Source organism: Homo sapiens, chromosome 6 (genome assembly GCF_000001405.40).
Source record: "Homo sapiens chromosome 6, GRCh38.p14 Primary Assembly".
In the NCBI taxonomy this organism is placed as follows: domain Eukaryota; kingdom Metazoa; phylum Chordata; class Mammalia; order Primates; family Hominidae; genus Homo; species Homo sapiens.
The window spans coordinates 162799256-162824756 of record NC_000006.12 but is presented as its reverse complement, the minus strand read 5'-3'; the positions used below and the strand labels follow the sequence as shown (position 1 = coordinate 162824756).

The 25501-nt window shown below is 35.6% G+C and overlaps 1 protein-coding gene across 20 annotated transcripts in view; it reads right to left on the bottom strand.

The window, feature by feature from the left end:
* The window catches only part of PACRG (parkin coregulated), a 588369-nt gene that overhangs the window by 490744 nt on the left and 72124 nt on the right, over positions 1-25501 (bottom strand). For all 20 annotated transcript variants that reach the window (NM_152410.3, NM_001080378.2, XM_017010277.3 and 17 more), the window contains one exon: positions 10476-10610. In NM_152410.3, coding sequence (NP_689623.2) covers positions 10476-10610 — 135 coding nt within the window. The remainder of the gene's footprint in view (positions 1-10475; positions 10611-25501) is intronic.

The window sequence follows — 25501 nt, the reverse complement described above, 5'->3', positions numbered from 1 at the left end:
CAGGTTACAGAGCTCAGCACCATGTCTTTCCCATTATAAGTACTCAATTCCTTTATGAATAGACAAGTCACTGTAGCCTGTTAATGAGATCACATTACTTCTCTGCAAAGGAATATAGTCCATTAATGCACAAAAATGAATTGGACTCAGTGTTTTTAAATAGCATCTTGACACGAATCTCTGACACAGTATCTCCCAACATACCACAAAATTATCTATGAAGATACAGAAAAAGAGGAAAATGCAACGGCAAATCTGTATAATAACAAATGTGCAGGCAGAAAATAAAAGGAATTTCTACAGAAAATGAGATCAATGGAATTGGATTGGAAAACCACAATTCATAGTCAACTTATGTTTTGCAACCAGAGGCACCAATCCAAAGGTAGGTAGTCAGCTTTTTCATCTCTCCCACACTTTCTGATCCCCCTTCCTGGCCCGGTCAGAAACATAAGGTCTAGAATAAAAGGGTGATGGTGGGGGCGGGAGGGACTAGGCCACCAGCCTGCTACCTTGAAGTAGTTGCCTTTCAAGACAAAGCACTATCCACTTCCATTCACCCTTCCTACATCCATTCACAGTCAACTCAAGAAACAACAACAAATCTCTGTAGGGACAGAGATTTCTGGTACCACATTGCATTCTGTCCTAGAAAGCAGTGTGTCCCACAAGCAAAATGCTATAGGTAAAGGCAGGCAAAGACAGAGCTGGGTACCTGTGCCTTTTAGGGATTATAGGTGTTTGTGTACTCCAGCTATCTCAGTGTCAGAAGTTACAAAGTCCCCTTTTAGGCCAACAGAATAAGACCAGGTGAAACATGCTCATGCTAGACACTGGGTATTGGCCAGGTGCAGGGCAGTTTACCTAAGCACAGCTAAAATTTGAACTGGTGGCAGTAATGGATAGATCCATACCAACAAAAATAGAAAACATAAGAAAGCTCTGGCCAGGCGCGGTGGTTCAGGCCTGTAATCCCAGCACTTTGGGAGGCCTAGGCAGGCGGATCACGAGGTCAGGAGATCGAGACCATCTTGGCTAACACGGTGAAATCCCATCTCTACTAAAAAAATAGAAAAAATTAGCCGGGTGTGGTGGCGGGCGCCTGTAGTCCCAGCTACTCGGGAGGCTGAGGCAGGAGAATCGCTTGAACCCAGGAGGTGGAGCTTGCAGTGAGCCGAGATTGCACCACTGCACTCCAGCCTGGGCAACAGAGCAAGACTCTGTCTCAAAAAAAAAAAAAGAAGAGAAAAGAAAGCTCTGCCAGAAGTTAAAACAAGGATAAAGAGATAAAAATATTGAGGGAGATAATGATAGAAATAATAGAACAGAATATAAATGTATAATCTACATGTAATATTTGTTCTAAGAAAGAAAACAGAAAATTGGGACAGAGTAACAATAAGTAATATTACAAAAGAAAACTTTCCTCAGTTGAGAAAGTTTCAAGTAAGTAGACAATAAGCTTACTGTACTAATGGAAGAATACACAAAAGGAAAAGAAAAATACATGGAAGCAATTTTTAATTACACAAAAATAGTGCATTTACCAAGGCTGTTAAACAAAACAAACAAACAAACAATACATTGACATTAAAGGAATAAAATCAGGCTAGTCTTAATTTTTCAGCATATATACATAGCATCTTGACACAAATCTCTGACACAGTATCTCTCCACATACCACAAAATTATCTGTGAAGATACAGAAAAAGGAAAATGTAACATGCAACGGCAAATCAGTATAATAACAAATGTGCAGGCAGAAAATAAAGGGAATTTCTACAGAAAATGAGATCAATGGAATTGGATATACATAACATAATAACATATGTTATATGTTATACATATACATATATGTTATAATACATGTTATAATACATGTGTTATAATATACCTAACATAACATATGTCATTAATAGAATACAAAGATGTTATCTTCTAAAGAGATATGAAGGGAAGCAATTGTAATTTAAGAATGCTAATTTCAATTAAATTGTGTTTTATGTACATGAAAGTTGAAATTTTATATTTTCAAGATATTCAAGAATTCAGAAATATTCAAACCATATACCTGTTTTTTTTAAGTGCTTAAAACTATGAATGAACAGAGAGAGATCAATCTAAATAAGAACTCAAAATTTGAGAATTTATGGCTACAAAGGTTGATGGGTTTTCTTTTACTCAGATTAGAACCCAATCTTGGAAATTCTGTAGGAGTATTTGTTGTAAAGACAGTCTCTTAGAGTAGGGGCAGAGGTTGGCTTTAAAATGATTCTGTCAACTCTGTCCATTTCTATACTTTTCCCAATAGCAAGAAATGTGCTTCATACATAATGAACTTTGTGAAAATAGTAGTTACTCTGCTCTTCAAAAACATGGTAATGACATGCTCACAAAGGCAAGCCTGCTTACGTGGTTGGGCACCATACCATGAGAATTACTACAGGAAAAGCCATGTATGTGCATCCCTGCTAACATGGAGCTTTGCATAGAAACATGTTTGGGTATCTCCTTTCCAAAGGTCTTAGTAATGACCGCTGAAAACTTAAACCTGCACATTAAAAGATGATTGTCTTTTTCGTTGTCATTAAACTGGAAAAAACTATTAGAATTCCTGTGGCAGTATGTCCACTATCAATCTCCTGTCTTAATTAGGACCATGAATGTTCCTTTGAGTTCCTTAAAAATTATCATGTGAAACACAGTTTCGACAAAATAAAAAACATACATACATGTAGAAAAAAGACAACAAAAACTTCAATAGACTAAAAGTTGTTATCTGGGAGGATGATACTTTGACTACTCAAAGGAAAACATCAAACAAAGAATGATTTTCTTGTTGTTGTTTACAAGCATACTGCCAATCTGATTCCATTTGTCATCTGTCAAAGGACTTTTGATCTCAATAGTGCTTCAGTAAAGAGAAGAGACGTGTGACGAGTGATAAGACAGGAGCGAACTGTTCATTAAATTACTAATTGGAATACAACTGGAGATTATCCTTGGGTAGATACAGAAAATTCATCAAAGACCAATTTGTGTCTCCAAACAGAACATTCTGACAAGCAGTGACACATATTTTGTGTTTAAAAATTAGAGTATTGATACTTCTACAACGTCAACATTTACCACTGAGAGGGTGGGCAGTGACACATTTCTTCATGAGGTGCTAAGTGACAATATGGGTGGCAGCTTAGCTTTGGCACCCTTAACACTACCAAGACCTACTTTTCAACCCTGGTGGTCGTCTGACTTAAAAAGCAGGAGTGATTTGTTTTTCTTCTAGTTGTCAGTCTACTGAGATCTGAAACTTACAACATTTCTTGTTTCCCTTGGGTCCCTGGTAATGTGAATTGTCTTTAGCCAATGCCAAACAAATCACTGTCACAGAGCAGCAGTCGACCTTTCTTTTCAATCTATACACTTTCCAGGAGTTATAAATCAGTTGACTTTCAAGCTCGATGAGATGGCGTATGCCCTAGTTTGAAGAACAGATGGAGGCTTGGGGGAAAATTGTTTCTGCAGGCTTGCTACAAGCAGCTCTGCTACATAAAAGTGAACCATTTGCACTAATTTCTCACATAAATTATATAGGCAGCAGGGAGCACCAGCCCATTCAGCAGAAAATCTTTCATCTGGTTTTCAGAGGTCATCTAACCAATTTAAATAAAAGTTATTTCTAATACATGGCTGTATTTTCATGCTATACACTTTTAAGATGTAACAATTTACATCAAATAAAAGAATGGCATTAAGAATAGTACACTCATTGCCAGAGGATTTTTTTTTTCAAAACTTCTGGAATAAGCTCTGTCTATTAATTAATCACAAAGGAAATAATTGTGGGAACGTGGCAGATCTCTTGTACAAAAATCAGGTAAATTGTCACTTCTCTTGTAAAATTTGCCTTGCAAATTCTACTAAGTCCTATTATCCAAACTCAAGCTTTGGCAGTTATCAAAAGAAATAGAAACCCAGGACAATTCCAAGAGAACATTCATTCTCCTTGATGTGAAACAAATTATTCAGCTCAAATAAATTTGCCTACAAGATTTCAAAAGTCAATATCAGTTTTACCTTAGGGGCAACAGATATAGCATTATTTTTTTAAAATCCTTAAGAAATTGAAACATTAAGAAATTGAAGGTACCAAGGGACTAAATTATAACTCAAAATTACGGAATCTTGTGAATATTCTGATAGCAAATGGATCGAGTATCACATCACAGTGTGATTTACTTTAAAATGCAGTAATATTTACAGATAATGAGCTATCCTCAGTTGGGCTGATTTTAATTGTAAGAAAATGTGTGCATATTTTTATAATAATTATATGCAATAACTGTTTTTCCTACTAGGAAATTATCAGTTATGTCAATGAAAACAGTCACATTGACAGAGATTTTTATAGTTCCTGAATACCAATGCTGCTGAGAAATAAAAAGAACTAGAAAAAAAGGAGAAAATGCCAGAGAAGAAATACTGAATGGAATTGTCAGTCAACACATAATTAAAGGTGTTGTCTGAGACACCATCAGTGGAAATTATAAAGGCTGATTTATGCATCTAATTAATTTATTCACAGCATTTCCTTTACTTGGGTGTTCAAGTGCAACATATATTTTCAGTCCTTTAGAAAGGGAAGCGAATTTGTCATTTTGAAAGCAAACTTTAAGGGATGAGTAGTCATTGGAAAGCATTCGTGTATAACCTAAAGAGCATCCTCCTGGTAAAAGTTCAACCCCCTCAAGACCGTTGCATATCATTCTGGAACCTAAAGTGCTATGGATTCAAATTAAATGTGCTGCTGCTAATATTTCCATTTTGCTACCAGAAGAATTGATCTCTGTGGCAAATTTGTACTCAATATTTGTTCTTTGAAGTATTCCACCAACATATCAAAATACAATTATTTTAATAATTATGAAACAAAACTTATTTGAATGCTCATAATTTAAAAGGGCCATAGAAATCACCTGGTATATTGTTGTCACTTACAGATAAGGAAAGTGAGGCCTACGAAGCAAGAGAAATAAAACTTAAAAACAATCAGCTCCTGTATGCTTTACTTGCATTCAACAAATATCCCTGGGCACCTGCCCTGTGACAGTACTGTTCTAGGTACCAGGAAAGTGAGTGAATAAACCAGAAATACAGACAAAGATCTCGCCTTATAGGATTTCAGGATATGCCTGTTTTTACTAACATTGTTACTGGATCCATTTTGGGTCCCTATGGTTTTCATTTCTCTCATCTCTTATTTTTGCTGACTTTATAGTTTTTTTGTAAGACAATTTAAATCCGTTTTGAAATAATGTGGGGTATAAATATATAAATGACATATGTATGTCAACATTTATTTATAAAAAGTATTAAATGTGTATAGTTACCTGATTAATAAGTCATTTTTTAATACAAAACAAAGTCTGGAGATCTAAATTTTAATCAACAGGTAAAATTACTATATTAACCTAAGGGGAAATTTGCCTCCATGGTGAGATTTCATATTCTCTAATAGGGCAGTGAGGAAGATACATTTTTGGCAGTGAGTAGAGGCCACCTAAGTCCATTCTCACATATACCTGCTCATATGTATCAGTTCTGGTTTTATTCATTTCAATATAGGTGGCTATGGAATATCATTTACGTGTCAAAGAAGAAAAAACAAGAACGCAGAAAGGCCTCTGGCATGTCTGCTACTCTGGACAAGGACCATCATGACATTGCCGGGTGTGGGTTGATCGGGTGCTGTGCGGGCAGTGGGGAAGGATTTTGGACAAAATACAAGTCCATTTTGAGTTTCTCCCTTTCAAATTTGAGAGGTTTGTGATTTTGTTGCATGCATAAAAGGGTGGTATTCTATCCTGATTTTCCTAGAGGATTACAGGTTTATCTACGTCCTATTCAAATATCTCTGATACCTGGGACATTCTTACGCCTGGTTATTAGAAATTTAGTGGAAAACAAGACCGTCTTAGTGCATGTCATATTCTGTCACGTAGCACGTTATCATGGAGAAAGATGACCTGTATCAATATCTACTACATCAAAATGCCTAGAAAGTGAAAGATTTTAGAGACACCTTTATGTAGGTGTAGCTGTTTCCATCTTCAAAATAAATGAATGGTTTATAATATGATATAGTTATTTCTAAAAATTAACAGTGCCTCAGGTATTTATCTTCATCTCTTTCTCTCGAGGTCTCTATTGAAGAGACCGTTTCAAAACCACTTGTATGCTTCTCTTCGCTCTTTATTTACACAGCAGAGGTAGAGACAATGGGCCATGTATTTTACCAATTCATATAGCATTTCTTCCCTCCCCAGGTGCCCATATGGAAAACCTTTACAAAGAGCCCCGTCCCCACCCCGATCACCATCATTAGAAGTGTGCGATTTATATTACAGAAGGACAGAAAATTAAAGGATGGCAATTTAAGATGAGAAAACTCAAACACAATTTTTAAAATTCCATCGTTCATCTGATTATCTGCTTTGTAACTTATCCAGACAGCTTAGCTCTTTTCTCACTTGTTGCCAATAATGTGGATATTGAAGACAGCAAAAGAATCAACAGTCGTATTTCCCAAATGTTAGAGGGGTCAAGGAAAATGTAGCAAAAGAAACAGATTAACATTTTTTTTGTTTAAGTATTCCTTATGCTTTTTTATAACTACAACCATTGATAATCAAGAATTCTTTAGTGATATTTAGAAAATGCATATTTAAAAATTAAAAAAAAAGCTATTCCTGGGCTTGCCGGTAGATTTCATATTCGAGATGAGATTTATTCAACTTTCATAGCTCATGAACTTGCCATTGATAAGTATATAGAAATTTTCACTACAAACATTTTGCAAAACGTTTCTCACATTTACTAATAAATTTATGATATGCATAGAAAACCATGACAAAAAATCCACAGATGAGTCCCGTTTTTTCACTTTAATAATAAAAATTCTAACACAGTGATAGCCTTCTATCTATCTGGGTAGCAGATTCAGGCATTTATTTTTGACTGCCATTATCTTAATCTGTAGCTGCATGGTCTAATATGGTAACCACGTGGCTATTTAAATTAAAATTAATTAAAATTAAATAAAATTAAAAATTGAGTTCCTCAGTCTCCGTAGGCACATTTCAAGTGCTTAATCACCACATATGGCCAATTGTACCATATTAGACGGTGCAGATGTAGAACATTTCCACCACTGCAGACTGTTGGATCAGACACTGCTGCAATCTTCAGAGATGCCACAAGAAAGAGACGAAGCTGCAGAGACGATGACACGCAGCCTGCCACGTTGTTTTGGCATCTGGAACTAATGACCACTTCCATGTGCATGAAACTGGTACTGAGAGCAGGGCGTGGGCTGAGAAACCTAAGCATGCAAAGACATCTGTCTGTCTCTAACTCTTGCTTCTACTTTCTGATGTTACCATAGAGTGCCTTTGTTATTTCAAGAACACACAATGGTTCCTAACCTGGTGAAGATCAGGTCAGCTAATCCAGAACAAATAGAAGAGGAGTCTGAGGACCTGGGGAGGGATCCCCAGACCAGCACATTCACAGACTGGAATGACCGTGAGAGGCTGGGGCAGCCTGTGCCGGGGTTTACAGCCAGTGCATCCTAAGTCCTTCGGAGCCACAGGCTCTGGAAACACTGATAAAAGCAACAGACCTGCTTCTCACTTAGTTATGTGCATCATTTCAGGTGCTCACAAGTCCACTTGGAGTCTCTAGGGTGTCTGAGGAGAGTTGAGAGAGGGCCGGTATCCTCGGAGGGAAGCACTGCTCCTCAGCAGTCCTCAGTGAGGGATGAGCTATGACATTGAGACCAGAGGTTTGCATGACCAGAAACCGGTGCTCTGCCCACACACAAGAGAAGAGTGCAGGGTCTTGGCCTCTTGCTTTTAGTTTTTTGTGGGGGACGGATCGCCCTGCTTCCTTCAACACTCAAGAGTTCTTCCTTAAGAATGGCATCCTAAAACAAGTCCCTCCTCCTACTTAGCACCAGATTGTCCTTTCATCAAATGTGCCACGAAATAAATATGAAACTATGGACAGATGGTTCCCAAGCCTATGTTTAACAATCTTAATGTCTTGGCTGGGCGCGGTGGCTCACGCCTGTAATCCCAGCACTTTGGGAAGCTGAGACAGGCGGATCACGAGGTCAGGAGATCGAGACCATCCTGGCTAACACAGTGAAACCCCGTCTCTACTAAAAATACAAAAAATTAGCCGGGCGTGGTGGCGGGAGCCTGTAGTCCCAGCTACTCGGGAGGCTGAGGCAGGAGAATGGCGTGAACCCAGGAGGCGGAGGTTGCAGTGAGCCAAGATCGTGTCACTGCGCTCTAGCCTGGGGGACAGAGCGAGACTCCGTCTCAAAAAATAAATAAATAAAATAAAAAATAATCTTAATGTCTTATCTTCAGTGTTACAGTAATGCAATTAAAATGTAGTAGCTACTGTCTAAAAGAAGTCCACAGCTTCCGGAATAAGATGTTTTCCTAAATTTATGCTATTATACTACCAGTGACAGCAAAGAAATTGTTTCTTCTTTTTATTACTTTTTAGCTTGCTGAATCAGTACTATAATCAATAGTAGCTTAAGAGAATTAATATATCCATAAAAAAGAAAAGCATTTTATATCCCTGCTGACTGTTGGATTATCAAAGATAAAGAAAATGATTCATCTCATATTTTTATTAATAATTTATTTTCAAAATGATTTTTTCTAGTCTCTACACTTCTAAAGGTTGCTCATAAAATTATTTGAATCATAGTAAATCTATATAATTTATTTTCATTAATACAATTTATGTGTAGGTTATAATTACCTAAAACACCAAAAGCCACTCCCTTTTTATAAAGAATTATGACATATTATTTTACTCAACAGGAATCAGGTTTTGAAGAAACTCCATTGTATTATCTTGGAGCCAGTACATATCTATGAGCCAGTACATAGACAGGCAAACACAAAATCCATGCAACCAATCAAATATATGAATCCAAAAATCCAAACAAAACTTTGGAAATATATGCTTATATTAAGACTAAAGTATGAAAGTTAGTTATACACGCTATAAATTTTTTCTCATCATACGTACATTTTCACATAACAAGTTCACATTCTAACAGACACTATTATAAAGGAGATAATAATGTTACTCACCTCTTTCCCACCCCCCCAAAATTTTATAGTAAGGTTTCCTAATAAGGATACTACCAAGTTCCTCTTGTAATATAAGTTGGAATAATTCTAAGTTCAATAACTGATATTGGATGACTGCTCAAGAATTAGAAATGTTTGATAACAATATGAAAATATTTCAAAAGACATACTAGATATAATGCAATAATCCTTTCAATGTGTCTATACAGGAAGGAAAAATTTAATTTTAATGCACCTTTTTAAGCTATTTACTTTGATTTCTCTGATTTGTACTTTTATTTTTAACATAAATTTATTTGTTACTAATTAAAAACAATTCCTGATTTGCTTTTGGTCACGACTGCTGGACTTCCCAGTTAAATGTGTCAATTGCTTAATTTAACTAATAGTTGGCCAAAACCTTTTCTTGTCCTTAACCTGATGTGATACTCATAAGTGTGCACAACTGCTTTGCTGTCTGTAGGCAGAGAAGCCCTTTTAGTTGATAAATATCACCAAAAGCAAAGTCTTTGATAACAACAATAATTAAATAGCAGAAGCTGGTTAGAGACCAGCATTTATTTTTCTCAGATTAAATGTAAAAGCCTTCTCCGGTTAAGAGATTGGCAAGTTTTTACAAATAACATCAGTGAGCCTTTTACAAAGGAACACAACCACATTAGAATGGAGTCATTAGGCAATACATTTATTTTGAAGCCAATTAACCTTTTGTCAGAAAAATGTCCGTGCTGTAATGGCTTTGGCGGTGGAGGTCAGCCTCTAACAGGGCACGTGTGACAGCCATCGCGCTTGCTGACACAGGCGGGGACGGAGAGGAGAGCCAGGATTGGGATCGGCCTGCTTTTGTATTCTACTCTGCATTTCCAGGGAGCAGACAATCTTGACCTATCCATTTAGGTAATTAAAGCTTCCATTTGGAAGTGTCCTGCAGGAAGGTGAAATCTGGGGGAGATAAATGGCTGTTGCTCTCCGTATCCAGCCACCAGTTCCATCATTTGATGGACTGCCTGAAACAGGCCGGGCTGCCAGGTTCTCATAAAAATAGAGATGAATTGGGCAGCAGACAACTCTCTAAGGCAAAGCAACTCTGTCATTTTCTTCTTTGCAGGCTATAATTTAATTGTTAGTCAAGGTGGATGGCTGACACAGGGGGGCTTTCTCTAAGAGCTTTCCCACCATCTTCCATGTGCTGAGAAATGACTCCAGTTTATTTACTTAAGCAGCCAAGTGTGTTTGGCATTGGGAGATGTCACTTCAGCGGGTGCAGCTGGCCGGCACAGCTGTGCCCTGACTTACCTTCCAGGCGATTTTGTTTCCTTTCGAATCATGCTCAAGGGCAATTGGGAAGTCACCTCGCTCATAGAATTTTCGAAATGCTGTGGGCTTGGTTGGTCTTTCTTTAAATGCCCCTGCAGCTGGAGGGCCTCTCACCTTAATTGGAAAAAAAAAAATAGGGATCAGGTTTTAAGACATACTAAAAAAATTCATAATAAAAGAACTTTCTGTTTTTAAAGATTTCAGTTTGTATAAATATGTTGGAAGATAAAAACACATTATCAAATAAGGGACAACAGAAATCTGTTAATACAAACACCTGGGAAAGAAAATTATTTTATAATCACTATTAAAAGTCTACTTTATTTCAAGCTACTTTAGAAAGCATTCCTAGAAAATGTCTCTTAAAATATCACTTTAGAGGGAAGAGAAAACTGATATTATGTTTGTGAAAAACATTTTAATAGAGGTGTCTTACGCTTAGAATGTTAAAACTTTTACAATTTCAAATACTTATAAATTCTAATCTTGGGTCTGATATACTTTATGGAATACTGAAGTAATTTAAAACATTTCAATCTTTCTATATATATGGAAAATAGTGGAATATGTTCTCACATTATGAATATTAACAATAAAACTACTAAAATGATATAAAACTAATAATAAATTAGTGTAGAAAGAGAAAAAGGTGGCCTACTATGTGTGTGTACAGCATACATTTGGTAACATGAATTCACAAGAAAGTAACATTAGAATAGGTGAGAAATTAGAACTGATGAGAAACTTCCATCTCCAAAACTGAAATTTTCATTGAAGAAGAAATATTCCCTATAGAGTTATTTACAATGAATACATCTTTTAAATCTGTATTTACATTGGAACTAATTCATTAGATTACAAAATTGAAAGTAGTAAGTAAACTATTTAGAAAATAAATGTACTATTCTGTTCCTTACATATAGTCTAAACACGATTATTTTTCCCTGCTTACTGAAAAAAGGTAAATACTAGTCATTTTATATATTAGCTTAATAAATTCATTATTACTTTGCTAATACTAACTATAGACAAAATAATATAACCTAATATTTTTAGTTATTTTATATGTTAATTTGTAATATTTTTGTTAAAAACTCCAATTTTAATGAATATATTAACATATCTAAATAACATACAATAAATAAACATACAATACACATATTAGATATGAAAAATACATTGTATCTAATACATATATAAAAGGATTATATTTGAAATTAAGTGTGGTATTAAGAAATACCTTATTACAATGATTAAATGCTGAAGTGGAGTTGAAGAGTGAGGTAACACACATTTATTAGAGTTTAGAATTTACTCCACTACATAGCACATTACTCCCAGTATATGATTATATGAGTAATTGAGGCAGCATTGGGTATTACCAGTAGGAAGGAAGATTTCCTTTTACTTATTGAAGATTAGGAATTTGTTCTGGAATTAGAATTAATAGCCACCATTTTCAGTCAAATTCATTCAATTATCAAATAACCACATGTATTTAACAACTATTTTGTTCAGCTCTTTAAGCTGGAGGCTACATAAAAAGAACAGTTTTAGCTATATTACTATCATGGAAACTGTAGAACTGTGATTCCTGGACTTCTGAAATTCATGGAGGAGTAAATCTTGAATCACATTTTTTGGAAATGATAAATGATTGACAAATTTTTATGTTGCCAAAAAGTTATTTTTTTTTAGAAAAGGTAGATGGTAACATCTACCAATATGGCACCATTTTAACACCCTCAAAAAAGTGATATAATACAATCTAAAGAAAGAAAATTTGACCAAGTTAAATGAGCATAAATGTGTGAACAAATATTTATAGTAAATTATGTGCAATAGTGCCAGTGTATAGTGCAAATATGTATGTGCATGTGTGTGTGTATTGTTATTGTAGAACACTGATTACTGGTCAGCAAAAGCCTCATTTATTTTATTTTATTTTTCTTGTTTAACTTTTTGTTAAGATAATCATAGATCCATATGCAGTTGTAAGAAATAACACACAGAGAACACACATAGCCTTTAGTTGCTTTCCCGAATGGGAATATCCTACAAACTGTGATACTATATCACAATAGGTTATTGACATTGATACAGACAAGAACATTTCTACCACCACAAAGTTCCCTCAATTTGCCCTTATACAGCCACACTCTTTCTTCCCCTTAACCTTCGTCCCCTAGCAACAACTATGTCCTCTTCATTTCTATAATTTTGTTATTTCAAGAATCATACAACATGTAACCCTTTGGAATTGGCCTTTTTCACTCCACATAAATCTCTGTAGAATCATATAAGTTGTTGTGTGTACAGATTGAGTATCAAAATCTGAAAAGCTCCAAAATCTGAAACTTTTTGAGCGCTGACATGGTTGTTCACAGGAAATGCTTATTGGAGCTGAAAAAATCAAAAATCCAAAACACTTTGAATCCCAAGCATTTCAGATAAGGGGTTGTCAACCTATATCAACAGTTCATTGCTGTTTAATGGTGAATGGTATTCCATGGCATGGATACATCAGTTTGTCTACCCATCCACCTTTAAAGGTCATATGGATTACTTCCTGGGTTTGGCTATTATGAATAAAGTTGCAAAATTTTTTGTAGATGCTCTTTAACAAGTTGATGACCTTTCCCCCTCTATTCTTATTTTTCTGATAGTTTTTCATTATAACTAAATGTTCAATTTTTTCAATTTTTTTCTGCGTCAGTCAATATGCTTCTGTGATTTTTATTCTGTCACCTTTTGATATGGAGTTTTCTATTACAAATGTAATAGCCTTTAAAGTTATAGAGCTACTCAAAGAATCTGCTTCCTATTGGATGACTTGCAGTAACATGTATTTTCTGAGGAATTGGCCCGTTTTATTTAAGTAGTTAAACTTACAAGTGTAGAATTGCTTGTGTTTTTTCTGTATTATCCTTCTGATGTCTGGAGGGTCTCTCAAGATATCCATTCTTCATTTCTGATATTTGGTAATTTGTGTCTTCGGTTTCTCCTTTGTCTGTCTTACTAGAAGTTGGCCAATTTTATTGATTTCTTCTGCATTTCCAAAACTACATTTTAACTGGATGTAGGATTTAAGGTTCATGGTTCTATCTTTTAGCACTTGAAAAATAGTGTGCCACTTCCATCTACCCTTCAAGGCTTTGGATGATAAATCCACTCTCATTCACATTGCTTTCCCTTATTTATAAGGTGCCACTTTTTTTTAGTTATGCCACGATTTTTCTCTGTCTTTAATTTTCAGAAGTTTAATTACGATGTGCCTTTGCATGCATTTCTTTGCTTTTTATCCTGTTTGAAGTTTGTTCAACTTTGTGAATCTGTAGGTTCATGTCTCTTGCCAAATTTAGAAAGTTTTCAGTCATTATTTCTTTGAGTACTTCTTTGGCCTGGCTTCTTTTTCCTTTCCTTGTAGACTCCAATGACATTAATGTTAGATCTTTTGTTACAGTGCCACAGATCCCTGAAACTTTTTCTTTTTCCAGCCTGTTTTCTCTGTCGTTCATATTGGGTAACTTCTACTGCTCTATCTTCAAGTTTGTGGATTCTTCCTTCTGCCTACTGCATTCTGCTGTTGAGCCCAAATATGCTTTTATTTAATTTGAGTTGTATTTTCAGTTCTACAATTTCTATTTGGTTCATCTTTATATCGTCTATTTCTTTTCTGAGACTTTCCACTCTTTCATTGTCTCAAGGGTGTCATAATATTCATAAAAGCATTTTTGGAAGTAACTAATTTAAAATTCTTCCCTAGACATTTCTAACATTTCTGTTATCTTGTTGTTGGCACCTGTTGATTATATTTTTACATTCACTCTGAGATCTTCCTGATTCTTGGTGTCATTACTGATTTTCTTGTGAAACCAGTATGTTTGATACATTATATTATGAGATCTTAAAGCTTCCGTTTTAGCTTGCTTATTCTGACATTTCTCTGGCAAAGGTTGGGGGAAGGGTGCTACCTTATTACTGCCAAGTTGGGGTAGAGGTCTCATTACTCTACTTGGCGTCTGCTGACCCCAGAGGAGAGAATGCTTCATTAATACTGGGTGACCCCAGAGGAGGGAGTGCCTTATTAATACTGGGTGGGGATGGAGATTCCAGAACCCACTAGGCCTCCACTGATGCCCTCCTGGCTGGAAGGGGCAGGAGTGACTCATTACTGCTCCCCCATTGTCCACACTGACATCATAAACAGTGTGGCCTCATTACCCTGGGCAGTGGTGAAATTCCTGACTCTCTAGGCAGTCCTCTGACTTAACTCCAATGGGAAGGAGACAACTCTTTCGTCACTAAGTGGGGAACAAGCCCAAGCTCCTCGTGAGGTCTCCACTGGCACTGCAGATGTTGGGGCCTCTTTACTATTCTAGTGAAGAGGAAAGTCCCAAAGCCCCATTTAAGAAACTCAACTACAACCATTATTTAGATATTTTGTTTGCTAATCATCCACTAACCACCCTTTCTGAGTTTTTCTAGAAGTCACATAGTTATTTTTACTGTTGATAATAAGCCTCCCACTTACTGAGTTGGTCTAAAATTTGTTGAGATCATCCATCTTTCCCCCTTTTGTCTTTGCACTTCTCAAAAAATCAATTTCTCTTTTCTTTTTGTCTCTTATACTGAATATACTCCAATCTTTCTGATTCTCAGCTCAAAATTCTTAATGTTCAAACTTTTGACTGAATAGACACATTTCTAACAAAGCTTAGAAGGCTATTCATAAATCGATATAGATAACTTATACTTCTTCCTTTCAATAAATTTTCATGTACCCTACAGAAATGATTCCATGCCTGCACTTCCATGGAAAGCCTTTATTTAGAAGAGAACTTTACAAAATAATCCATGGTGATATGTAATCACTTGACAGTGAGAAATTCTCTTCTTAAGTCTCTGGTATCCTCTGTCTTTATATTTCTGCTATTTACTTATTTTTAAACACTTTATACTTTTTGGGATCTGCTATAGATCCATTCTAAACTAACTCTTGGCATCTCAAAAGCCGGAACTTGTAACAGAAGCAAGAATGTTCTCAATTAGCTGTCTCGGTGCATCAGTGGCACTGAATTTTATGCAGATGCTTTGTCACTACTGCTGAAATAATATTTTTTTCTGTTCCAGGTACATATGACATGTGTAACCACCTAAGCTTTATAGAAGGACATACCATTTTTATATTCTATACATAATTTATTCCATATAATCCTAAACATCTGTACATAAAAAAAATCAAGCGAAATATAATTAATTCTGGGATGGTAATAAAGAACTTATTATTGGAAACCATGCAGATGGTTGTAGCTTGTCTAAACAACTTTTAAAACAAGCAAAACGACTCTGAAAATCCTTAGGTAAGTTCCATATTTGTAGAAGAGAAAATATTATAAATTTTATTTCATGTTTTAAGAATTTTACCTCAATTTATTATAAATAATATAAAGCAAACAAGAGACCATAAATCAAACGAGATTTGTGGGAAAATGCAATTAGGGTTTGCCTGAATGGTAGGGGCAATCTGTAAACCAATTGGGAAGAATGGATGTTACAGCAGAATGCTTTTAATAAAATCCAATGCACTTGGGAACCAAGATATTGAATGCAGTTTGAAATAACTACAGATGACAGAATACTTTATATGCCTACATTTACGGAATGTGGCATAATGGATTTAGGACTTAGATCACAGTGTCCATCATATGGTCACAAAACTAATAATAATAAGGAAGGAATGTAAGGCTCTTGAAGTCTTCATCATATAGTTTGAAAATTTCCTTTTCACTATTTTTATTATTTAGCATAAACTGAAGCTGTTTAAAAAAGACTTTTATATCAAGCAGGAAATTTGCATTGTGTTATTCTAATTGGCCCATTTAGCCAACCCACTAGAACACTGAAACAATAGGATGCAAAGATATTGATTACTTGTTTTCATCAGGTTCAATCTGAAATTCTGATTCATGAAAACGCCATTGTTATAAACGGGTGGGCAAGACCTGTTGACTTGAGTTCTGTCAGGACTGGACTGTTAGTCTCAGGAATGGTAAATCGGTTACCTTCAGCGTAGGCTCCTGAGTGAGAAGTTCTGTAATTCAGTATCTGCCTCATTTGCCAACTGTAATTGCTTCACTACATCAGAAATTTTACAATACTCAAGGTCACCAAATGACCAGGACAATGCTTACAAAATTATTACAATAAGAAAATTGTATTGTAATAGAAGATAGGTGTCTCAATGATAGCAAAAATGAGCTCATAATACCAAGTAAAATGATTATAATAAGTTATAACAATATAACAATTTAAGAATTTAACAATATATTATGATCATGATAGTCAGAAAAGATATGAGTCTTATTTGTTACGGATACGTAGAGACATTCATTTTATTGCACTTTGGTTTATTGTGCTTCACAGATATTGTGTTTATTTAGTAAATTGAAGGTCTGTGGCAACCTAGCATTGTGTAAGACTATCAGTGCCATTTTTCCAACAGCATCGGCTCACTTCATGTCTCTGCATCATGTTTTGGTAATCCTGGTACTATTTCAATTTTTCATCATTATTATATCTGTTATGGTGACCTGTGATCAGTAATCTTCAATGTTACTATTGTGATTTTGGGGGAGTACCACAAACAACTCTCATATAAGGCAACAAATTTAATCCATAAATGTTTGTGTTCTAACTGCTCCACCAATTGGCCATTCCCCTATCTCTCTCCCTTCCTCAGGCCTCCCTATTTCCCGAGACAGAACAATATTGAAATGAGTCCAATTAATAACTCTACATGGCTCCTAAGTGTTCGAATGAAGGGAAGAGTCACACATCTCTTCCTCTGAATCAAAAGCTAGAAATAATTAAGCTCAGTGAAGAAGGCATATTGGACACCAGGACAGGCTGGAAGACCTCTTGTACCAAATAGTTAGCCAAGTTGTGAATGCAAAGGAAAAGTTCTTGAAGGAAATAAAAAGTGCTATCCCAGTGAACACATGAATAATGAGAAAGTGAAACAGGCTTATTGCTGATACGGAAAAAGTTTGAGTGGTCTGGATAGAAGATCAAACCAGCCACAACATTCTCTCAAGCCAAAGCCTAATCCAGAGGAAGGCCCTAACTGTCTTCAATTCTGTGAAGGCTGAGAGAGGTGAGGAAGCTTCAGAAGAAAAGTGTGAAGCTAGTAGAGGTTGATTTGTGAGATGTATGGAAAGAAACCATCTCCATAAATTAAAGTGCAAGGTGAGGCAGCAAGTGCTGATGGAGAAGCTGCAGCAAATTTTCCAGAAGATCTACCTAAGATAAATGATGAAAGTGGCTACAGTAAACAACAGATTTTTAATGTAGAATAAACAGCCTTCTATTGGAAGAGGACACTGGGCTGCTAAAGCTACTGAGGATAATTCAATGCTTGGCTTTGAAGTTTCAAAAGACAGGCTGACTCTCTTGTTAGGGGCTAACGCAGCTGGTGACTCTAAGTTGAAGCCAGTGGTCACTGAGCACTTAAAAAGTTCTAGAGCCCTTAATAATGAGGCAAAATCTATGCTTCCTGTACTCTGTAAATGGAACAACAAAGCCTGGATGACAACACATCTGTATATAGCATGGTTTATTGAATATTTTCAGCCCACTGTTGAGATCTACTGCTCAGAAAAAAAGATTTCTTTCAAAGTATTCTCCTCATTGACAAAGCTCTTGGTATCCCTAGAGCTCTGATGGAGATGTACAAGGAGATGAATGTTGTTTTCATCCCTGCTTACACAACACCCATTCTGCAGCCCATGCATCAAGGGGTAATTTTGACTTTCAGCTTTTTTTTTTTTTTTACTTAAGAAATACATTTTAGGCCAGGTGTGGTGGCTCACACCTGTAATCCCAGCACTTTGGAAGCCTGAGGTGGGGGTGGATCACCTGAGGTCAGGAGTTCAAGACCAGCCTGACCAACATGGTGAAACCCTGGCTCTACTAAAAATACAAAATTAGCTGGGCGTGGTGGTGCATGCCTGTGATCCCAGATACTTGGGAGACTGAGGCAGGAGAATCGCTTGAACCCGGGAGGCAGAGGTTGCAGTAAGCTGAGATTGTGCTATTGCACTCCAGCCTGGGCAACAAGAGTGAAACTCGATCTAAAAAAAAAAAAAGGAAAGAAAGAAATACATTTTTGTAAGGCTCTAGCTGCCATAGATGGTGATTCCTCTGATGTATCTGGGCAATGTAAATTTAAATATTCTGCAAAAGATTCAGGATTTACCATTCTAAATGCCATTAAGAACCTTTCTGATTCATAGGAAGAGGTCAAAATATCAACATTAAAAGGAAGGATGATTCCAATCCTCATGAATAACTTTGAAGGGTTCAAGACTGCAGTGGAGTAACTGGAGATGTAGCAGAAATAGCAAAAAGTCTAGAATTAGAAGTGAAGATGTGACCAAATTGCTGCAACCTCATAAAAAACTTTAATGAGGAGCTGCTTCTTATGGATGAGCAAAGAAAGTAGTTTCTTGAGGCAGAATCTACTCCTGGTGAAGATACTTTGAACATTATCAAAATGATAAAAAAGGACAATGACAGCAAACATAAACTTAATTGATAAAGCATGGGCACAATTTGAGAAGATTGACTCCAATTTTGAAAGAAGTTTTACTGTGCATCAAATGGTATTAAACAGCATCACATGCTACAGAGAAATCTTTCATGAAAAGAAAAATCAATCAATGCAGCAAATTTCATTGTTGTCTTATTTTAAGAAATCATCACAGCCACACCAGCTTTCAGCAACCACCACACTGATCAGTCAGCAGCCATCAGCCTCAAAGCAAGACCCTCCACCAGCAAAAAGACTAAGACTCACTGAAGGCTCAGATGATTGTTAGCATATTTTAGCAGTATTTTTAATTATGGTAGGCTCATTGTTTTTAGACATAATGCTATTGTACCTTATTAGACTATAATATAGTATAAATATAATTTATATGCACTGGGAAACAAAAAAACCACGTGACTCTCTGAACTGAGATATTTGCTTCATTGCAGTGGTCTGAAACTGAATCTGTGATATCTCCAAGGTCGCCCTTTATATATAGTCATGTGTTGCAGAACAATGTTTCAGTAAACAACGGACCACATATACCATTGTAGTCCCAGAAGATTATAACACCATATTTTTACCATACCTTTTCTATCTTTAGATATGTTTAAGATACACAAGTACTTACCATCTTCTTACATTTACCTACAGCATTCAATACAGTAACATCTTGTACAGGTCTGAAGCCCAGGAGCAATAGGCTACAACACATAGTCTAGGTGTGTAGTAGGCAATACCATCTAAGTTTGTGTAAGTACACTGTATGATGTTCATGCAATGATGAAATTGCCTAACAACGCATGAATGGATCCCCACATTTAAGGAATACATGACTGTATTTCAATAAATATTCAATATATTGGTAAGCATCCTATAGAGTCTTTAAAAATAAGGCACTATAGGCAACAATGGCTGGCAGGGAAAACTTCAAGTGATTTGAGCCATCAACTTCCCGAAGGGTTTTCAGTCAAGGTCTAACAGAATGGCCTGAGGTCAGGAGAATATAGAGTCAAGGTGAATGGTCTGCATTTCAATGCAGTGGTCCAAGCATGGGATGGCAAAAGCCTTAAATTAAGGTGGCATCAAGAATAAGAACAAAACCCCTCATACTGTGTTCATTGCTTTATGAACATTACTGGTATCAATTTGCAACAAAACCGTATGAAAATTATTTCACAGACAAGGAAATTGAAGAGAGAAAATAACCGGCTGGAAATCACCATGTCAGCACACAGTCAGAAAAAGACTTTAACCCCCAATCTCTTTGTCTCTACAGGACATGTCCCTCAGTCACTGTCCTAGATTATTAAATTCAAGCAAAAATCTAAAGGATTATTCGGGGCACCTGACCGATTGGATGAGGAGAGCTACAGGCAGAGATGGAATTTAGATTTCAAGACTACAAAGTTACAAATTGTCTATTTGTTTAAATCATATAAATAATAAGAAACTGTAGAAAGCTTGCAAGAAAATCTTATTAAATCACTTGTAATCCTACCACCTATTAATAACTTTGTGCTTTTCCCTTTAAACTTTTCAAAAACATAGCACTGCAGATACCATATTTTTACATTTTTATGTCCTTTCCATTTAGTGTACTTTTAAACTTAGTTTAATATGTTTCGATGTTGCCATTTCTATCAAAATTTTGTATTTAATAGCTAAGTAATATTCCACCTACTATTTGCCATTATATTTGGAATTTATATTATTTCAATTTTTTGCCTATTGTAATTACATTGTATAAATATTCCAGGCATATGATGTTTTATATTATTTCCTTCAGACAGAGTCTCCAAAGTGAGATAATGAGGTAAATTTTTTGTATATTTTATGATCTTGATAATATTATTTTCTAATTAAAAAATAGATGAGTCTTCCTGTTCAATTTAGATTACTACATTTAACAAAGGAGGATGAGCATTTTCTCATTTTGTATAAATACAATATGCATGCATTGTGAATGCGTGTTCATGTCTTTTCCTCATTAATGTTAATTTGTATGAGATCTTTATACTGGAATATATTAAATACTGGTTGTATTGACTGAAAATATCTTATCATCTTTGTTTCCCATTTTATTTATTTAGCATTTAAAAGTTTTAAATTTTGTGTAAGAAAGTCTCTGTCTTTTCTTTATTTGCTCTTTTTGCCTCCAGCTTTGCTTTTTCTAGTTGATTCCTCTGTGTGCTGCACAATGAATATTCTAATAGACTAATTAAATCATATCTCTCATCTACTTAAAATCCATCAATGATTTCCCATTGACACACTACACAAAGACATTTGCAAGCTGACTGTCAGTCTCTCAGGTTGTTCCTGCACAGGCCCTTCAAGCATTAGTCACACCAAAATGCTGGCAGTCTCAAATATATCCTGCTCCTCCTTGGTCTCCATGATTTTCCATCAGCCTGTAATTCTCCCTCGTGCCCTCACTCTTTTCTTTTCTCCTTCCTTTTCTCCTGAATAACCATTAATCACCTTCAAGACTCAGCACAAACCTTTCCTAACAAACCACATCCCTACTGTGAAGTGGGGTTTGATCCTTCTTCACATTAAGCTTGCAATACCTGTGGGGTAAACAACTTGGGGGGTCACTGAACAACTGGACATCTGAAGAGTCCTTATTAGAGAGGTCTAAGCTGTTGGTTATGTTTGGCTGTGACCAAGTGGTAGGTTCAATCTATGGAAACGGGCAACTTTTCCCAAAGAGAGAGTGTATAGTGAGAAAAAGGCTGAGGCCCCAAGACAGTACCTGAATATTTAACAACAAGAGGATTCTATAGGAGAATAGAAAGAATAGTCAGAATAGTAGCAAGAAAATGGAAAAGGGATGATACCATAAAATTCAACAAGTGAGAGAGACCATTTTTTTTGTTTTTGTTTTTTAATAATAAAGGGAGATCATTAAGAGGAGGACTGAAAGTATCCATCTGAAAATCTAAAAGCAGTAGTGACATGATGAGGTGGAAGCCAGACTGTAGTGCACTGAGGAATGGGTGAGAAATATGAAGAAGGATCTGTATTCTATAGGAGCCTTTCTACCCTGTGGGATGTCAAGATCTGAGATGTTAGCAAGGTGTGATTGCTGAAGGAGGTCAAAACCAATGGTAACTGGAAATAGGAAAAGAGAGGTAAATTAATGGACTATTACACTGGAATTCATAAATTATATAACCACTTATGGAACCGCAGTGGATTTTAGAAAACAAGCTATATGTATAACCAATGCACTTACATAAAATGGCCAGAGAAACATGTAAAGTGCAGAGTAAGTTTTTCAATGTTAGGAGCTCATAAATATGAATTTGGGGATCTATGGTCACATAAACTAAATTATTTACTAGAAACAGAGTTAAGAAAATAGCTCTAAATTAGACTTTTACCTATATCATTTATTCATTAAAAATATATTGACTACTTAATTTTCACAAGTTACTAGGTTTAGTACGAGCGGGGAAAAATACAACTCAAATACATTAGCTCCAAGATATATATTATTAGGAGAAGAGATAAAAATACCACCCACAATCTGCACTTGAAATAAGAATATGAGAAATGTCACAAAAAATATATAGAATTCTGCAAACTCAGAAGATAAACCTCTTCGATCTGAAGGCATTGTTCCTTTTCATTAGAAAATGTTACTTAGCCTTTACAGAGTACCTACAGGTTTCAGTGGATCCAGACAAAAACGTATTATAATTTCCTATGAACCTGAATTCTGTACAATTTTAATTAGAAATAATTATTAGAAAATTATGTTTGCTATTCCCTGTATTTGTCCATTTACAACTTTTGTAGTTAACAGTTAAATCAGAATTAATTTGTCTGAATTTTCTATAAATTTTATAAATTTAAGTAGTTATTAATTATTACTACAATCTTATAACCAAAAATTCACTATTGATGAGATCAATACACTTTCTAGGTGAAATCTCTTGCAATAAAATTCATATTTCCTGTTTTGAAATTCATTTGTCCAAATGAAAAATCTGGTTGAAAATCTAAGGTTTCTGTTAGACTTAAAGGAAATAATCTAAATTAGTCTAAAGTACTTGCAGAGACTAGTTTAAATATGATGAACATAAATAAAAACCAAAATTAACATGTGCATATTATAATAAATTACATTTAAATTACCATTGCCTTTTGATGATCACAGAAAAACAAATAACTTATGATGCATTTTTTTTTCTAATCGGTGCTATGAGAAAGATGCAATGCTATCAGTATAAGATAGTAATATGTAGAAAATTAGCCAGGCATGGTGGCTTACGCCTATAATCCCAGCATTTTGGGAGGCCAAGGGGGGCGGATCACCTGAGGTCAGGAGTTTGAGACCAGCCTGGCCAACATGGTGAAACCCCATGTCTACTAAAAATACAAAAATTAGCCGGGCATGGTGGTACACACATGTAATCCCAGCTACTCGGGAGGCTGAGGCAGGAGAATTGCTTGAACTCAGGAAGTGGAGTTGCAGTGAGGCAAGATATCCCCCAGCCTGGGCAACAGAGCGAGACTCTGCCTCAAAAAAAAAGAAAATTGACAAATATTTCAGCTAAAAGATTTAGCACAGTTTGGTACTACAGCTGGTTTTTCAGCTTGACCACACATTGTAAGCGGCCTTGTTTCCAGAAAGATTTAAGGAGGTCCACGAAGACGCAGGCAGTTCAGAAGACGGCTCAGCGCACGTGGAGGAACTGCCAGGTGTGGGGATTGGACCCTTGCAGCCTCAGCCTCCTGTAAAATGTTCCTGGCTGACCTCTACGATTCCTTCTACACCTTTCTAACTTAACATGTTGAGTGAGCATCCTACGGAGTCTTTAAAAATAAGGCACTACAGGCAACAAGGGCTGGCAGGGAAAACTTCAATGTATTAATTCAACACATACTGAGGACATACAATATTATCAGAGCATTCACACACTTTTGGAGCTAAGAGGAACTGCAAAGAACACATCAACTCCTTGTTTTCCTCTTGGTGAACTGAAATTCAAACAGGCTATGGAAACATATCCCAGTCGACATTTCAAAGCATATTTTCTTCAGCTCTATTACTTAACATCTATCTCCATTTCATAGATACCAGATTCTTTCAGGTCCACTTGATTTTAAAAATGCTTCTGTAATAACTGTATGACATAAGGAGGTCCCAAAGATTGCTAAGTAAATTGTGAGTATGTCATTCAAAATTTATAGATAAACTGTGGCACATTTGGAAGCAATATTTCATTTCAAAAATGTCTCTATAGTCTACAATTGTCCTGAAAGCAATGGTTAAACAACAAAATTTGTTTTAAATTATTTTTGTTTAAAATAATAGGCAGCAGTGATCTTTAAAATTCTCCATTGTAGGAGAAAAAGAAAAGGTTAATAGCCTTTCTTAACAAAATGAGATGCAACAATCAAATGATTAAAAAAATTCTTGACAGTTAAAGGCTAAAAAGTTTACTTAAAAGCTGCCTTCTTCTTGCAGTTAAATATAGAAAAAGGCCACATATTTAAGTGCCCAAGTGCAGTTCTTGCCTTCAACTTGTCTCCGAGAGTCATCAGAGACTTCAATTTAGACTATGCTATTTAGCATCTGTCTTGTAGAACTGATAAAAGGCCTGAATGACTGAGACAGCTTAGCTAATACACTGTCACACCTAACTCTAAGGCCAAAGGAATGAGTGAGCCAAATGTGAAAGGAGAATATAAATGGGCAAGAGTGTAAAATATATTCTACTCTCCTAATACCTTTAATGTTGAAAGGTGGTAAACAGTTTATATCTAAACATATATCTTCTGTGTCTTGCAAGAGTTATTTCTTACTGAATAATTAGAGTAAAAAATGTTATTTTTGTATCTATTAAGAGACTATTACCATTCACATCTTACATATCATGAATATTTTAATAGAAAATTTGAAAATCCTTGTGTCTAATGATGCAAACTGAAATTCTCCAGAAGAAAAAACTATAGCTATTTAATAGAAAACAATTCTTAGAACTGTCTACAATAAAAGATATTTATAGTAGTAAGAAAAAAAAAAGGGTCCCACTTTCCCATCATCGCACTGGCTCCCTCTAAAATAAAATACTTAGGAAGTTAACACAATTTACAGAGCTATGAAATACTCTGATTATGATTTAGAAACTCCAATAATAAAGAAAGCAAGAAATGTACGAAATATATATCACACACATAAAGCACACTTACTACAACTTAACTGGAAGATAATTTAATAAGAAACACTAGATTGGAGTCCTATCAACCTAGGTTTTTTCCACCACAGTTTCCACCACAGTCTATTCGACCATGAAAGAAATATTAAGAATATAAAAGGAGAAAAGATGAACATGTACCTAAACAGCATGTTGTCTGCCCTAAATAAAGATAGTAATGCATCTTTCACTATTCAGATGCA